The 17,473-nt window shown below is 43.6% G+C and overlaps 1 protein-coding gene across 2 annotated transcripts in view; it reads right to left on the minus strand.

Moving 5' to 3' along the window:
- Positions 1-400: 400 nt before the first annotated feature.
- Positions 401-17,473, minus strand: part of VSTM5 (V-set and transmembrane domain containing 5) — a 32,387-nt gene continuing 15,314 nt past the window's right edge. The window contains exons 2-5 of one of the 2 annotated variants that reach the window (XR_001747865.2): positions 3,166-3,492; positions 2,912-3,052; positions 2,456-2,781; positions 401-1,021 (exon numbers count right to left, since the gene is read on the minus strand). Coding sequence is in view for 1 of the 2 variants with exons in the window: in NM_001144871.2 (NP_001138343.1) it covers positions 2,738-2,781; positions 2,912-3,052; positions 3,166-3,492 (512 nt within the window). In the remaining variant the exon portion in view is untranslated. Of the gene's footprint in view, positions 2,782-2,911; positions 3,053-3,165; positions 3,493-17,473 lie in introns of both variants that reach the window. The other variant, NM_001144871.2, reaches the window with a different exon arrangement.

The following is a 17,473-nucleotide window of genomic DNA, read 5'->3' on the forward strand; positions in this document are numbered from 1 at the left end:
TAACCTCTGAAAGGACATTCTGTTGACAAAGCATGTGTGTTCTGTAGGGTATCTTATCCACTGCTGAACAAGTGGTACAATTATCACATCCTACTTTTGGCCCATTCCAGAAGCAGGAAGAATGCTATTGAATTACAGTTAATATTCTGAAAGCATAAATTTCAAATTGGTCTTCTGGCTACAATTGGGGGAGAATGGTGGTGCTGATAAGGTGTAGTTTTTCTGAATTGCTAAATAATGTTTACTGTTAGAACCAGTGTAATTAGTTGCGTTGTCACTTAAAATATGTGCCAGACCTGACTGTGATTAAGGGTTTTGTTTATGCTCAGCCTGACAGGACACAGCACCCAGAGCCTCTGATTTCTTGGCAGGAGCAGACACACACACAAAGGACCAGGGCTTTATTTTCAGGTTTTATTTCATTCATTCTTTAAAACTTTTTTTTTTCACAGTTTGAAATATAATTTATAGCTTAACATTTACACTAGCTAATCTCTAAGATTTTTATTTTTCTGAAAAGCAAAAACCTCAGGCTCTGCATTTTAAACCTTTCCACAGGAATGTTCAGTATGGCAGAGCTTTAAAAATTCAAAAGAAACCCTTTTTTCAAAGAAATGGAAAGCCAAGGAAAGAAGCTTTTTTTAAAAAAAACATTGTAACTTCCCACACTACTGATGTGAATAAACTGTCATGAGATTTGGGCGGGGGGGCAATTTAATTGACATCTGCCATGGAGGCCTCTTAGTGGGTGTTCTTTTCCAACTCCCCTTTGATTATGAAGATTGCCAGCCCTGACTTCGGGACAAGCGGAAGAGCAGAGTTCTGAAAGGCAGGTAGTGTGGAAGAGGACATGCTGGCCCCAGCAGCTACCCAACTCCCACTGCTTTCCTGCTGGTGGCCTCTCTGTGTGAAAGACAAGAAAGAAATCAGCAGATTATCCTTGAGCCCCTTGGATACTGCTCACCTCGTTTCTTCACAGCACTGGAAACTGTCCTGGCCCAGAGCCTGGTTCCTCCGACTGCTGCGTGGGGATAGGACATAGTGTGTGAGTTTACCCGTGTGTCTACAGGAGGCGCCTTGAGGGTATCTTCTACCTGTCAGGTGCTAGAGCTACACATCCGTTGTGTAGACCAACTGCTGTCGCCTTTTGAATCAAGCAGTGCCTTGGGAGTCCTGCTCTGGATACTGAGAGTTCCTGTCTGAATATTCTGAGAGATCCCTTCCCAAAACTCTGGATTCAATATTGAGGGAAAGGGCTGTAACTTATCCAAGCAACTCCTCTGCCACATAGGAAATAGAGAAGATATGGACATTGGAGGCCTGAAAGGAGGAAGAAGAGAAAGGAATGTTCTAAGACTTCTTAACCTTTGCATGGGTGAATTTGCAACTGAGGACTAGGAACACATCATCATCGGATGGTACCTTTGGTCTGTAGCTATGAATATTGGAGAGATAAGAGAATGGAAAATAAATCCATGCCTGCTTTTAGAGCTTGTCAAATGGAAGTTGGGATGGAGAAACTTACAGGTGAACATGGTGACCAACAACCTGAGGGAATAATGGCCAAGGCCAGCTGTGGTCCAGTCCCCAATCTCACCTGGAGCCCCAAGACCTCAGAGGATTTTATCAATTTCTAATACTCAGAATAGCGTTTTCCAGTATAGCTTTCCAGATCCTTGAAGAAGCCTCATGCATTTCGTAAGTTGCTCAGAGAACTCTGTGCATACTGTGGGCTTCTCTTGATACTCTGACTGTGAGGTAGGCAAGGGCCAAGCGTTCCTCAGCCCAGGTAGGAGAGGGCAAGGGCCTGACTTGAGACGTGAAGTGTTAGTGACTGAGGGGGACAGATGCAAAGCCCGAGATGACTGATTTTCCAGCTGCATCACCCACTATGCAAGCTCAGCTTTCACACAGGTGGCATCCAGCTCGTCAGGAGGCCAGGTGCTGCCCATAATGGAGATGAGCTGTTGTTTTACTTACAATGGCCTAAGTTTGAGCCATGGGAGGGAAAATCCAATTAACGTTGGAATGAGGGAGGAAGAGAAAGATAATTTTCTCTATTCCTTGTATCCAAAGCTGGCCTCTCAGGAGTCCATTGAGCTCCTCTCCCATAAAACTCCCAGCCACCGGGCCTCACCAATGAAAAACTCTGCAGCACAACAGCACCAACCCCCACCCCCAGTCTCTTTCCACCTCTGCTCTGAGGCAGCAGATTGTCTAAAAGCCTCAGGTTTTCTCACAATAGCTCCCACAGCAGTGCTTGCTTGTGGGATACCAGATGGGGGGCTGGTTGGCACAGCAGTTGCAGAGCAGACAGGAGCACAGAAAGCATGTTCTAATGCTGGCTGCACATCCATCTGGAAATCCTCTGGCCTCTGATACAGGGACTCTGACAACAGGCCATCCTGCACACCAGAGCAAGTGTCGTGAGCAAGCAGCCAACGCCTGCACTCACCCATTGGTTATGTGTCAGCACGGCCCTGATGCTGCAGCCAAGCGAAGCTCCTGGTTCAAAGCCTCAATCACTCTTCTCCTTGAACTTAGCGCGAGTCCTAATACTAGCTTTGTCCCATCCACAGTCCTCAACTCCATGCAGTCAATGTTGTTAATCTCCCACTGTCCTGTTAGGAGCGGGCTGCAACAGGACCACACACAATGGGTATAATAGCTGTGCTTGCTCTTTTTGTTGGAGAATGGTTTCCTCTTGAGGTAGGAATGCAGTCAGGCCCAGCCTTGGCTAACACTCAACATCTTCCAGCTCAATCTCCTCAGTTGTGCTTTCTGTAAAGCAAAGACAAGTCAATGAGTTGGAAATCAAGCCACATAGTGCTTTCTTCGTGAGAACAAGATAACACATGCCACCTCTGGCCTCAAAACCACTCATGGATTATCACAAGGCCCAGGGGGTTACCTTTGAGTTTGTGTCTTCTCTTCCTCTGAAATTTATATGCACACTTATTACAAACCCACATGAGGCTGATTAATACTGCGGCCACAGCAGCGAGAAAAGCAAGGATGACAGCGACAAAGTGCAGGTCTTCATAGAGGATCTCTATGGAGTGAGGGTGAGGGGAGGGGGAAGACAACATTTCTTTTAATATCGTGAAATTGGCCTCCCACACATTCACAGTTCAGAGGGGTGCCCGGGGCCCTGGGATGTCTTACCAGAGACGTGCAGCACGATGGTGCCAAACTGGCTGCTCCCCAGGCGCTCCGTCACGGTGATGACATAGTAGCCGGAATCCCTCACTCCCACGCTGAAGAGCTGGATGGAGCCGTTGTCAAAGGTGCAGACTCTGTCCTTGTGGCTTTGAGAGATGTTGGCCTGAGTCCCTGGTTTCCACTCCACGATCTTCTGCGTTCCCCAATTGGATGAATATGTCCATTCGATGGTGGGCACTCCATGACAGGAGTACTCAACTGAGAGCAGGATGTCTTCTTTGACAGTGGCATTGATGGTGGCCTGAGGAATGTATAGGGACACACCCTGACCTGCAGGATGATATGCTGGATGTTGGGCACATATATATGGCTTTATACTGAAGTGAACTTATATAATTTGTTGATCTATTACACAAATATTTATTGTGTGCCTATTATATGCCAGGAACTGTTCTAGGTTCTGGTGCTTAAGCGATAATGCTGAACAAGACACAAGGCTCCCTGGAGATAGAGCTCTCTACACACAGAGCAACCTTTTTCCATTTTGAAGACTATTTAGAATGCTCCCTTTTATTTCAACATGAAATCTGACACCTTTGTAGCAAGGTGGACTACAGAGGTTCTCTCCCAGTATATGGGGAGCCCTTCTGATGCCCAAGGACTCTTCTCATGACTCTCTGGATCACTCCTTCTCACTCAAGCCCTCAGTGTGTGACATAGTTATTCTTTAACACAGAACAAAGTGCAGAGTTTAAGACGACTGAAATAAAGAAGAAAACAGAGGTCAAATTCCAGGCCAGACCTTGGAGGGTGGGAATCGTGTTTTCTTTATCCCTATGGTCCCTGAACCCAGTACAATGCCTGGCACATAGTGGTTGGTCAATAAATGTTTGCTGAGTAAATGAATAAGTGAATGACCAAATATTTACAGCAACAAGAACATGAGCCTTTTCCTAATAGGAATGTTGATGCTTGGGTGGTTTGAAAAATTAGGTACATCTGAAAGCTAACATACATATAGGGAAAAGAACTATATTTAAGACTTTCTGTGCCAGTTACTATGTTATCTACTTTATAATTATTATCTTTTATTTTATTTATTTTTTGAGATGGGGTCTCGCTCTGTCGCCCAGGCTGGAGTGCAATGGCTCGATCTCAGCTCACTGCAACCTCCACCTCCTGGGTTGAAGCGATTCTCCTGCCTCAGCCTCCCAAGTAGCTGGGATTACAGGTGCCCGCCACCACACCTGGCTAACTTTTTGTATTTTTAGTAGAGACAGGGTTTCACAATGTTGGCCAGGCTGGTCTCAAACTCCCGACCTCATCATCTGCCTGCCTCGGACTCTCCAAAGTGCTGGGATTACAGGCATGAGCCAGTGCACCCAGCCATCTCCTTTTTTTTTTTACAAAGGCACACCAACATGCCCACATAACGGAAGAGGAGGGATTTCAGCACAGCTCTGATTCCAATCCTGGATCTCTACTTTGTTTTCTGTTTTGTTTTGCTTTTGAGACAGTCTTGCTCTGTCGCCCAGGCTGGAGTGCTGAGTCACAATCTCGGCTCACTCAACCTCCGCCTCTTGGGTTCCAGTGATTCTTGTGTCTCAGCTATCTGAGCTGGGATTACAGGCATGTGCCACCATGCCAGGCTAAATTTTTTTTGCATTAATAGTTTTAGTAGAAATGGGGTTTTGTCATGTTGGCCAGGCTGGTCTTGAACTCCTGGCCTCAATTGATCTGCCTTCTCGGCCTCCCATAATGTTGGGATTACAGGCATGAGCCACCATGCCCAGCTCGTATCTCTACTTTGTGGCTATCTATCAATCACGTATCTATGTTTCCTGATTTCTCTGACCTCAAATATGAGCAGTTGCACTAGTGATTACTGCTGTAAGATTTAGAGAACTATATTTAGAACTAGTGACGAATCTATATTATAACTTCTGCGCATTTCATATACATTCTGTTAACCATGGTGGTCAAGGTTACTAACAGGTTAATATCCTGGGAGACTACCAGCCCTTTTCACACCCTCATGGAACTTCACTTTGAGCATTTCGGTTACTTTGGCCCAAGAAACTGCAAAACTAAAAAATAAATAAAAATAACAACTCCAAGTTTCTCAGATGCTGATACAACTGGAAACTGGCTGACTGGTTCTTGCTGGTTTTTGTATTTTCTCTGGACCAGAGAAACCTCTTTTTCCTTTTCTTTTTTTTTTTGGTAGAGATGAGGTCTTTCTGTGTTGCTAGGACTGGTCTTGGACTCCTGGCCTCAACCTCCCAGAGTGTTGGGATTACAAGTGTGAGCCACTGTGTCCGGCCTAGAAAAACTTCTTTAAAAATTTTTTTTAAATTTAATTGACAAATAAAGATTGTATACATTCAAGGTATACAGCCTGATGATATATCTCTATGTTGCGTAATGATGATCACGATTAAATTAATTAATATATCCATCACCACTCACGCTGAACATTCAGTCCCCAGAATTTGTTCATCTTATAACTCAAAGTTTGGACCTTTTGATCTGCATCTCCTTCTTCCCCACTGGCCCCAGCCTCTGGCAACAACAGTTCTACTCTATTTCTATGAGTTCAATTTTTTTAGATTCCACATATAAGTGAGATCATACAATATTTGTCTTCCTATGTCTAGCTTATTTCATTTAGCAGCTTAGCATAATGTCTTTCAGGTTAATCCATGTTGTCACAAATGGCAGGATTTTCTTCTTCATATGGCTGAATAATATTCATATATATATTTATTTATGTATTCATCTGTCTATGGACACTTGGATAGTTTCCATGTCTTGGCTATTGTGAATATGGTGCAGTGAACAAGAGCATGCAGATATCTCTGATACACTGATTTCAATTGTTTTCGATATATACCCAGTAGGATTGGTGGTTTGTATGGCACTTTTTTTTTTTGAGACAGAGTCTTACTCTGTCACCCAGGCTGGAGTGCAGTGGCGCAATCTCGGCTCACTGCAACCTCTGCCTCCCAGGTTCAAGTGATTCTCCTGTCTCAGCCTCCCGAGTAGCTGGGATTACAGGTGCCCACCACCATGCCTGGCTAATTTTGGTCTTTTTAGTAGAGATGGGGTTTCACCATGTTGGTCAGGCTGGCCTCGAACTCCCGACATCAGGTGATCCACCCACCTCGGTCTCCCAAAGTGCTGGGATTACAGACATGAGCCACCATGCCCGGCTATTACTTCTATTTTTAATTTTTTTGAGGAATCTCCATACTTTTTTCATAATAGCTATATCAATTTACATTCCCACCGACATTGTGCAAGGGTTCCCTTTCTCCATATCTTGACCAACATTTGTCACCTTGTCTTTTTGATAATAGCCAGCCTAACAGGAGTTAGGTGATATCTCATTGTGGTTTTGATTTGCACTTCCCTGATTAGTTCAGCACCTATTTATGTACCTGTTGGCCATTTGTATTGTTTTCTTTGGAGAAAGGACTATTCAGGTCCTTGTGCCCATCTTTAAATCATGTGTTTCTTTTTTGTTGTTGTTTGTTTTTTGCTATTGAGTTGTATGAGTTTCATGTATATTTTGGATATTAACCCCTTTCCAGGTTTGCAATTATTTTCCTGAATTCTATAGATTGCCTTTCCATTTTATTGATTGTTTCCTTTGCTGTACAGAAGGTTTTTAGTTTGATGTTGTCCCACTTACTCATTTTTGGTTTTGTTGCCTGTGTTTTGGGTGTCATCCAAAAAGTTATTGCCAAGACCAATGTCAAGAAGTTTTTCCCCTATTTTCCCTTCTAGGAGTTTTATGGTTTCAGGTCTTACATTTAAGTGTTTAATCCATTTCAAGTTAATTTTTGTGAATGATGTAAGATAAGGGTTCAATTTCACTATTTTACATGTGAATATTCAGTTTTGCCAACACCCTTTATGAAGAGACTCCTTTCTTCATTGTGTATTCTTGGCACTTTAGTCAAATATTAGTTGACCATATATAAGTGCCTTTGTTTCTGGGCTATTTTGTTTCATTGATCTATGTACCTGTTTTTATGCCAGTGCCATACCATTTCAATTTACTATAGCTTTGTAATTTACTTTGAAATCAGGAGGCATGATGCCTTCAGCTTTGTTCTTCTTTCTCAAGATTGCTTTGGCTATTCAGGATCTTTTGTGCTTCTATATGAATTTGATGTGGTTTTTTCTTGAGACAGGGTCTCCCTCTGCCACCTAGGCTGGAGTGCAGTGGTGCAATCATGGCTCCCTGCATCCTTGACCTCCCTGGGGTTAAGGTGATCCTCCCACCTCAGCCTCCCAAGTAGCTGGGACTATAGGTGTGCACCACCACATCCAGGTAACTTTTGTATTTTTTGTAGACACAGGTTTTCACCATGTTGTACAAGCTGGTCTCAAACTCCTGGGCTCAAGCTATCCAACTGCCTCAGCCTTCCAAAGTGCTAGGATTACATGCGTGAGCCACTGCATCTGGCCTGCTTTTTTGATTTCTCTGAAGAATGCTATTGAAATTGTGATACAGATTGCATTGACTCTGCAGATCGCTTTGGGTAATATGGACGTTTTAACGATATTAATTCTTCCCATCCACGAACATAGGGTATCTTTCCATTTATTTGTGTCTTCAGTTTCCTTTGTCACTGTCTTACAGTTTTCAGTATATAGACTTCTCGCCTTCTTTGTAAATTTATTCCTAAATATTTTATTATTTTTGATTTTATTGTAAATGGGACAGGTTTTTTTTTTCTTCCTTTTCTTTTTCTTTTCTTTTTTCTTTTTTTGTTGTTGTTATTGAGATACAGTCTCACTTTATCACCCAGGCTGGAGTGCAGTGGTGCAATCTTGGCTCACTGCAGCCTTGACCACCTGGTCAAGGTCAGAAATAAATGAAATAGAGACTAGAAAAATAATAGAAAAGATGTACAAAACTAAGAGTTGATTTTAAAAAAAAAAGAAATAAAGGCCAGGCTCAGTGGCTCACGTCTGTAATCCCAGCACTTCGAGAGGCCAGTGTGGGAGAGGATCATTTGAGGCCAGGAGTTCAAGACCAGCCTGGGTATAATTTAGTGAAACTGTATCTCTACAGAAAGCAAAAAACTAGCCAGGTGTGGTGGTGCACACCTGTAGTTCTAGCTACTTGGAAGGCTGAAGCAGGCGGATCACCTGAGCCCAGGAGTTCCAGGCTGCAGTGAGCTATGATCGTGCCATTGCACTCCAGCCTGGGCAACAGAGCCAGATCCTGTCTCTAAAAAATTTAAAAATAAATAAAAATTCAAAAATAAATAAAATTGACAAACCTTTAGTTTTCTGACCTGATCTTTATTATTTATTTTCTTCTGCTCTTCTTTTTCTATTAGTTTTCTAATACTTCCTTGAAGTGTAAAGTTAGGTTGATTATTCAACATCTGTTTTCTTTTTTTTTGAGATGGAGTCTTGCTCTGTTGCCCAGGCTGGAGTGCAGTGGCACGATCTCAGCTCACTACAAGCTCCACCTCCCGGGTTCGTGCCATTCTCCTGCCTCAGCCACCCGAGTAGCTGGGACTACAGGCGCCCACCATAACACCTGGCTAATTTTTTTTGTATTTTTAGTAGAGACGGGGTTTCACCGTGTTAGCCAGGATGGTCTCGATCTCCTGACCTCGTGATCCGCCCGCCTCAGCCTCCCAAAGCGCTGGGATTACAAGCATGAGCCACCGTGCCCAGCCCGACATCTTTTTTCTTAATGTAAGCATTTATAGTTATAAACTCTCCCCTTAAAACTGCTTTTGCTGCACCCTATAAATTATGGTATGCTATAGTTCCATTTTTATTTGTTTCAAGATTTTTTTTCTTTTCTTTGATACATTGGTTCTTTAGGAGTCTGTTGTTTAATTTCTATGTATGTGAGAATTTTCCAATTTTACTCCTACTGTTGATTTCTAGTTTCATATTACTGTGGTCAGGAAAGACATTTGATATAATTTAAATCTTCTTGAATTTGTTAAGCCTTGAGAAAAACCTCCTCTTAATTAGACAGACTAACCGGGCATTTAACTAGGTGTTAGGAACAAAGCGGTTTCTCCTTCCATCAATCTATCACATATAATTAGGAATAAATAATCTATAACAGGCCGGACACGGTGGCTCATGCCTGTAATCCCAGCACTTTGGGAGGCCGAAGCGAGTGGATCACCTGAGTTTGGGAGTTCAAGACCAGCCTGACCAACATGGAGAAACCCCATCTCTACTAAAAATACAAAATTAGCCAGGCATGGTGGCACATGCCTGTAATCCCAGCTACTCAGGAGGCTGAGGCAGGAGAATCTCTTGAACCCAGAAGGCGGACGTTGCAGTGAGCCGAGATCGTGCCACTGCACTCCAGCCTGGCAACAAAAGCAAAACTCCATCTCATAATAATAATAATCTATAACAAAGATGAAAAATTAACAGTTTCATGGTTTTAAAGCAAACTGCTTGTTGATTATTTAAAAAGTTGAATTAATGAGTAACCACGTCTGCATCTCATGCTAAAATTAATCTAGAGTGAGTCCAGAGAAACTTAGCAGCTGGGCCAATATTCAGGCCTGGCTCAAGTGCTCTATTCAAGGAGGTTGGTTCAGTACATCAGCTTTCACTTATAAAATGGATGGGCTGGTCTGAAGGTAGTGAGTTATCTCAACTGATTGTTCACAGTCAGTTACAGATGAAACCCCTTATTCTGCTCTTTCTCCCCTTCTCACTACTGCTATTGAGTAGTCTTAAAAAAAAAAAAAAAGGACAGCAGGCAGCCATTAACAAGAATGAGCTTTGTATGGGCAAGGAAAGACGTCTGTGATGTTACTAAGTTAAAAAAATAAACATGTAAAACAGCATACCTAATGTGATCTCATTTATATTTGTGCAAATATGTGCTAATATATACATATTATGTACGGAAAAATGGAAAAGTGTTGGAGTAATATATGTTAAACTGTTAACAGGAATTGCCCCTCAGAGATCAAATGGCAGGAGAACTTTATTTTCCATGTAAGCCATTTATATAATTTTGAATTTTTCAGTTATTTATTGAGTTAATAATTTTTAAAAATGTACTTTAAAAAGTCTTTTTAAGTTCTCCTGATTAGACTATGCAATCTTGGCCAGCAAAATTTAAAGTTTAAAAGTTTACCTTTGCATCTTCACTTGAATTATTTGTGAAAAGCAGAGAGGAACTAAATTTCTAGGCATTTCCAAGACAGATGGGGATGCCTCTTAAAGAACAAGTCACATAGTAGAAGATTTTAGCAGGACAGAAGTCACTGGAACCTGAACCAAAGGGCTTCCCGACTTCCTGGAGATGGTGAGACCCTCTGGTAACTAATCAGAAAGCTGTCAAGAGGAAATAGTAAAAGTACTAGGAAGCTGAAACCACCTACCGAGCAATGGGCTAGAATATAACACTCAGAAGGGTTACTTACTCCTTTTCTTACAAATAAATTACAAAGGTTGTACTTTTCGTTTTTTTAAAAATCGATTATTCAGAAGGGGGATATATTTCTTGAAATCACAACAAAGGTCAATACTGTTGAGATGACAATTACATCTGTTGAGATGGCAAGAATATAAACTAATGATAGGACAGGTATCTTGCCAACATAGTCTCTGCATTTAAGGAGTTATAGAGTTAAGGAGTTATAGAGATACATCTTAATTACTCATTTTCACCTCATTTATCTGGAAAACAACTTATTCAGCAAATGTGATTGTCAGATGCAGCTGAGAACCAGAAACTAAGCATCATTGTCATCCTTATCAAGCCTTTAGTTAAGCAGCTAGCATATAGGTCTCAGAGCCTAAGATTCAGGAGTCCTAATTCAGAAAACTGTTACAGTAGGGTGGGTGAGTGACGAGTGATATTACAAAAGGATCATTTCAAGTGGCAGGGAGGTGTAGTGGAGACACCTGATGTGGGCAGGACACACCCAGGCTCTACCCTGAGACCTCCTAGCTGGGAGATCTGGAAAAGTCCTTAATTATGAGAGCCTCAGCTCTCCTGCGAGGATGAGGGTCGATGACACATGTAAGGCTCAGCAACAGGCCGGGCAATGACACAGAACTTTGTGTTCATCCAGGAGCCGCAGCCCCCACCACTTACCCTTCTCTGATCAGGTCTCTGTCACCTGCCTCAGGGTGACTGACCAACTGCCCCAGTTTGTCCAGGACTGAGAGATTTCCCAGGATGTGGCAGTTTCAGGGCTAAAATCAGGACCGTCATGGGCAAACCAACAGAGTTGATCACTTGTGGTGGCTCACGCCTGTAATCCCAGCATTTTGGGAGGCCAAGGTGGGCAGATCACCTGAAGTCAGGAGTTTCAGAACAGCCTGGCCAACATGGTGAAACCCTGTCTCTACTGAAAATACAAAAAATTAGCCAGGCGTGGTGGCTGGCGCCTGTAATCCCAGCTACTTGGGAGGCTGAGGCACGAGAATCGCTTGAACCTGGGAGGCACAGGTTGGCAGTGAGCTGAGATAGCACCACTGCATTCCAGCCTGGGCAACAGAGTGAGACTCAGTCTCAAGAAAAAAGAAAAAAAGAAATATTGAAGAGCAGAGAGAAAACTCCAAGATATACCACTGTGTATTTCCGAGGTGTTCAAAGGGGCTCAATAGGGGAGTTGTGGAGGCAGCCAGCCCTGACAGGCTGAGGGAGAAGGAAAGCCAGTCTTCCCTAACACTCTGGCTCCCTAATGCATCTCCAGGGGTCAGCATCCCATGCACCCCATTTCAGTTGGGACCTCACTCTTGTTCCTGAGCTCAGCACTGCACTTGCCACAGCTCCCTCAACAGCTGGGGACAGGCTCATCGGGTGCTGGCCTGCAGTTCCCTGAGGTTAGGTAATTTGCCCAATGTCACGGTAAGTGGCTGAGCAGAGATTCAAAACCGAGTACTTTTCACTGTCCTAGTAATGAGCCAGGGAAGTTTGCAGAAGGTGAGGAAGGGAAAGGCACTCATTTAAGGTGGGGCATAAATAACAAGATTTTAAAAGTGTGGGAAAGGGAGGAAGCCCAATCTCAGCTGAGAGAAAACTAGGACGACCCAGGAAGGCAGGAGGGATCCAAGACTCCTCAGATTTGGGACTTGGTGATTAAGAAGTACAGGGTGGCCATGGGATAAGGAAGCTGACAGAGTGTGGGGCAGGGTGGGGGCAGGGCAGAGGCAGAACAGGACCCACGAGGATGTTCAAATAGGGCCATGACATGATCTGAACTGGGCTTCTGGAAGGACGGTCTGGCAGAATTCATAATCTTACCATTTACATACATCACATGTACTGCCCTGGGCCCCTAACAGGTGCTTGCTCTTTGGGAGAACCTAAGGCTGGAGCCTAAACAGCCGGGAACAGCTAGTGGTGCCCTGCATCCCCTGGCCACCCTGTGCCAGCCTCTGAGAGAAGGGGTAGTAAGAAGTGGGCATGTGTAGGGCAGGTCTGCCCAAGACCGCAAGATCGTTCGTTATAGAGAGAATTGTTGTCCTATTCATCTCAGAACCCCCAGTGCCCAAGACAGGGCCTGACACTTTGTAGATGCTGAAAATATACTTGCATGAATGAACAAATGGTGACATGTGTGCCCTGCCTGTCAAACTGTTGCCAACCAGGAGAGAGCAGGAAAGGAGTATCTCCGCTGAGCTGAGGGTCACTGGATCTAGCTGGGGAAGGCGCTGGAGGGACCCCTTTCCCAGCCCCAAGTCTGCTGAGAGTCAAACAGCTAGCAGGAGAAACAGCACAGGTTTGTTTTTCGGTTGGTTCTTTTTTTTTTTTTTTTGAGATAAGGTCTCACTACTGAGGCTGGAGTGCAGTGGGTGGGATCTTGGCTCACTGCAACCTCTGCGTCCTGGGCTTAAGCTATCCTCTAGCCTCAGCTCCTGAGTAGCTGGGACCACAGGCGTATTGGCCAGGCCCGGCTATTTTTTATTTTTATTTTTTTTGTAGAGATGGGGTTTTGCCATGTTGCCCAAGCTGGTCTTGAACTCCTGAGCTCAAAGCAGTCCGCCCACCCCGGCCTCCCAAAGTACTGAGATTACAGGTGTGTGCCATCACGCCTGGTAGTTTTTTGTTTTTTGTTTTGAGACACAGTCTTGCTCTGTTGCCCAGGCTAGAGTACAGTGGCGCAATCATGGCTCACAGCAGCCTCCACCTCCTGAGTTCAAGCAATCCTCCCACCTCAGCCTCCTTAGTAGCTGGGACAAAAGGTGTGCACTAGAGACAGGGTTTCACCATGGTGTTCAGGCAGGTCTCGAACTCCTGGGCTCAAGCGAACCTCCCACCTCAACCTCCCCAAGTGCTAGGATTACAGGCGGCACAGTTTTAAGCCACAACTAAAATATCCATGTTGCTGCCCAACTCATGCCATTCTTGAAACACCTGCCTGCCAGTAATTTGGGAAACACAGCTTTGTGTATGAGGTCAATACAGCACCTCCAAGTAATAGCTTTCCTGTTTAGTGGTGAAGAACAGTGCTGATAGCTGCCCTGGGCACACAGTTCACAGGTACCCATACCTCCTGTGAGCTCAGGTGGTAATTCCCCCTCTCAGTGCCTGATTGCTCAGAAACCAAAGCTCAGCTCATCTTGGAGAGGGCTCACCATGATCTTTCTGTTTAATGGCCTTGGGAAGTCACCCAGATGTCAGCCAAACCCAAACAACGTAAACAGATGCAGGTTTAGGTGGAGGCTACCAGGCTGTTCCCCTTCATCAGGTTTCAGAATTTGTACCCAAACCAGGAAAATCACTCGAAAATGGCAACAGTCACCATTTCTGTCAGTTAACACCTGTTAGATATCAGATGTTATATTATACAATATTATCACAGCCCAGTGAAACCAATGCTGGGAAAGTTGACTGACCTGGGCCGTTATCAGACTGGCAAAGATGAAGAAGTTTGATAACATTATGTTGTCAGGAGTGCATGGAAGTTACTCTCAAACATTAGTGTGGTGATTGTAAATGGGTGGAACCTGCTTGGATGGCATATGATGCAATCTGTAAAAATATTTAAATAGCACATACCTTTTGACCCAGAAATTCCACTTCTAATAATTTATCCTACAGATAAGATGGGCACATAGATGCAGAGATATATGTGTCACTGTTGTCATAAAGCACAGTACAGTCAATTGTAGCAGCAAAAGACTGGAGATGCACCTGTGTGTTCACTGGTAAGGAACCAGTTAAATAAAATATCAGTATTCATGTTTTGGGATATTACAAAAATGTTCAAAAGAATGAGGCAAATCTATATGTGTTGACATTAGATGATCTCAAAAATAATGAAAAAAGTAGAGGGCAGAACAGTGTATAGAGAATGATTCCACTTAAATAAAGTAATTATATGTGTATACACACACAGTCACACATACACAGATAGACATACAGTTATCCATATAAATGCATAGAACATCTCTAAGTTATTCTAAAAACCAGAAGCTGTGGTTGTCTTTGGGGAGAATGGGTGTCTGGAATGGGAGAAGACTTTACATTTCACTCTATACTTTTTTGAACAATAGTAATATTTTAGCAAGTTTGTGAATTACTTAAAAAATAATACACTGTGACTGTAAAAATACAAATACTGCATGCCAAGATTGAGTCTGAGCCTTAGATTCTTCACATTTGAAAATGTTTTTCACATATATACAATGGACAACCCCATGAGCATTACCTCAGTCTATGAAGGCAGGCAGGAGACTTGGACTAAAGCACTATGCTTTTCCCTTCCCGGGCACTTGCTTATTTGATCACTACTTTACAGATGAGAAAACTAAGGCTCAGAGACGTAAGTGTCCAAGTCTTTGCTAAGTAAAAATTCAGAGCTGAGACTGGAACCCAAGTCTCTTTTCATGGTCCCACAGATGCCCCTAATAAGGTAAGGCACTTGAGTATAGAGGTGGAGTTTTACATTTCTTTAATGTTTCCCAGAATAGCACATGGCTCAGTGCTGGCAAAGACTTGGGAGACAGATATGACAAAAAGCAGAAGTCTAGACCTGGGCTGTTCAATATGGTAGCTGCTAGCCACATGTAGCTGTTGAGCACTTGAAACTGACTAGTCCACACTGAGATGTACTCTAAGTATAAAATGCACACCAGAATTTGAAGACTTAGTACTTAGTATGTTATACAGAATATAAAACATCTAATTAATAACTTGTTTTCCATTGATTACATGTTGAGATGATAATGTTTCTGGATATATCAGGTTAAACCAAATATATATTCAAAGTCAATTTTACCTGTTTCTTTTTATATTTTTAATATGGCCACTAGAACATTTAAAATTACATACATGGATGGGCATGGTGGCTCATGCCTGTAATCCCAGCACTTTGGGAGGCTGAGGCAGGCGGATCGCCTGAGCCTAGGAGTTCAAGACCAGCCTAGACAACATGGCGAAACCCCATCTCTGCAAAAAATACAAAAATTAGCTGGGCATGGTGGCATGCACCTGTGGTCCCAGCTACTTGAGTGGCTGAGGGTGGGAGGATAGCTTCAGCTCAGGAGGCAGAGGTTGCAGTGAGCTGCATTTCAGTCTGGGTGACACAGTGAGACCCTGTCTCAAAAATAAAATAGTATTACATATGTGGCTTGCATGTGAGCCTTGCATTATATTTCTACTGGAAAATGTTGGTATAAACTATCACTTCTCCAACCTCTTGCCAAGAAAACAAAACTTGTTCCTTTGAGATTGTTCCACACTCTCCTCTCTCAACAACGTGAGCTCTCTGTCCCCAGTCCTTTCTCTTCATTCTTTAAACATGTTGGCGCCCTTTACTGCAAGTTACAGCATCATCCTGTGTCCCTCCAGCATACCCGTGGACAGCCCATCCAGTGATCTCATCTACAGGCACATCCTCCCTCTAGTCATCCTCAGCCTCCACACCTTCTCTCCTTGTTTACTGTTCAATTCCTCCCCTTGGCCTCATCAGTCCTTCCACTCTGACTCCCTCTACTTTTCCCAATCCATCTTCCTCACTTCCCTCCCTACCCAGCCTCAGTTCCATTGCCCATCAGGATCCAAGGACTCCTGTCAATCTTTTCAACACCAGTACTTTCTGCCTTTTCATCATATCTACCTGGTAAGGCCCTAGTCCTGGGACTAACAATGTTCTACTCTTTCTCTGCCTGTACATGAGTAGCCAACCCTGCAAGAGAATGTCACCTGGCAGACACTATTCAGCACAACAAAGCACACTGTTTCTAGGATAGACTCAAGATCACCAAACTCAACAGGGCCCCATCCTGCCAGACAATCTTACTGCATAAATTGACACTTCCTTTTCCCACAGTTACTATACAGGCTCCCTCCTCTTCCTGGGATGCTGCTGACACTTCCTTCTGATTTGGTGGTAGCTCTGGCCCACCACACTCACCAGCTGTTTTTCCCATCTCTCTGGTTGCTGCTTCTCAGTATCTTTTGAGGGCTCATCCTCTTTGCTGTGGTTTAAATGTCTGTCCCTGCAGAACTCATGTTGAAACTTAAGCCCCTGGCCATGTGTGGTGGCTCATGCCTGTAATCCCAGTACTTCAGGAGGTTGGGGCAGATGGATTGTTTGAGGCCAGGAATTCGAGACTAACTTGGCCAACATGGCACATGTAAAGTCCGGGTCTACAAAAAAATACAAAAATTAGCCGGATGTGATGATGTGCACCTGTAGTCCCAGCTACTTGGGAGGCTGAGGCAGGAGAATTGCTTGAAGCCAGGAGGTAGAGGTTGCAGTGAGCTGAGATTGTGCCACTGCACTCCAGCCTGGGCGACAGAGTGAGACTCCGTCTCAAAAAAAAAAAAAAAAAAAAATTTAAAAATAAAAATAAAATAAGAAATTTAATCCCTAGTGTAATAGTATAAAGAGGTGGGGCTTTTAAGAGGTGATTGGGTCATGAAGACTTTGCCTTCATGAATGAACGAACCCATTCATGGATTAATAGATAAGTGAGTTAATAGATTAGTGGGTTATCATGAGAATGGGTCTGTTATAAAAGCCAGTTTGGCTCTCAATGAGCCTCCTCACCACACTATGCCCTCTGCTGACTCAGGACTCTATAGAGAGGTCTCACCAGCAAAAAGGTCCTCACCAGATGTGGCCCTCAATCTTGGACTTCCCATCCTCTAGAACTGTAAGAAGTAAATTCTTATGGCCAGGTGCAGGGGCTCATGCTTGTAATCCCAGCACTTTTGAAGGCTAAGGCAGGAGGAATGCTTGAGGCCAGGAGTTCGAGAGCAGCCTGGGCAGAAAAACAAGAACACGTCTCTTTAAAAAAAAAAAATTAGCCAGGTGTGGTGGTGTACACCTGTAGT

The sequence above is a fragment of the Homo sapiens genome, chromosome 11 (genome assembly GCF_000001405.40).
Source record: "Homo sapiens chromosome 11, GRCh38.p14 Primary Assembly".
NCBI classification, from domain to species: domain Eukaryota; kingdom Metazoa; phylum Chordata; class Mammalia; order Primates; family Hominidae; genus Homo; species Homo sapiens.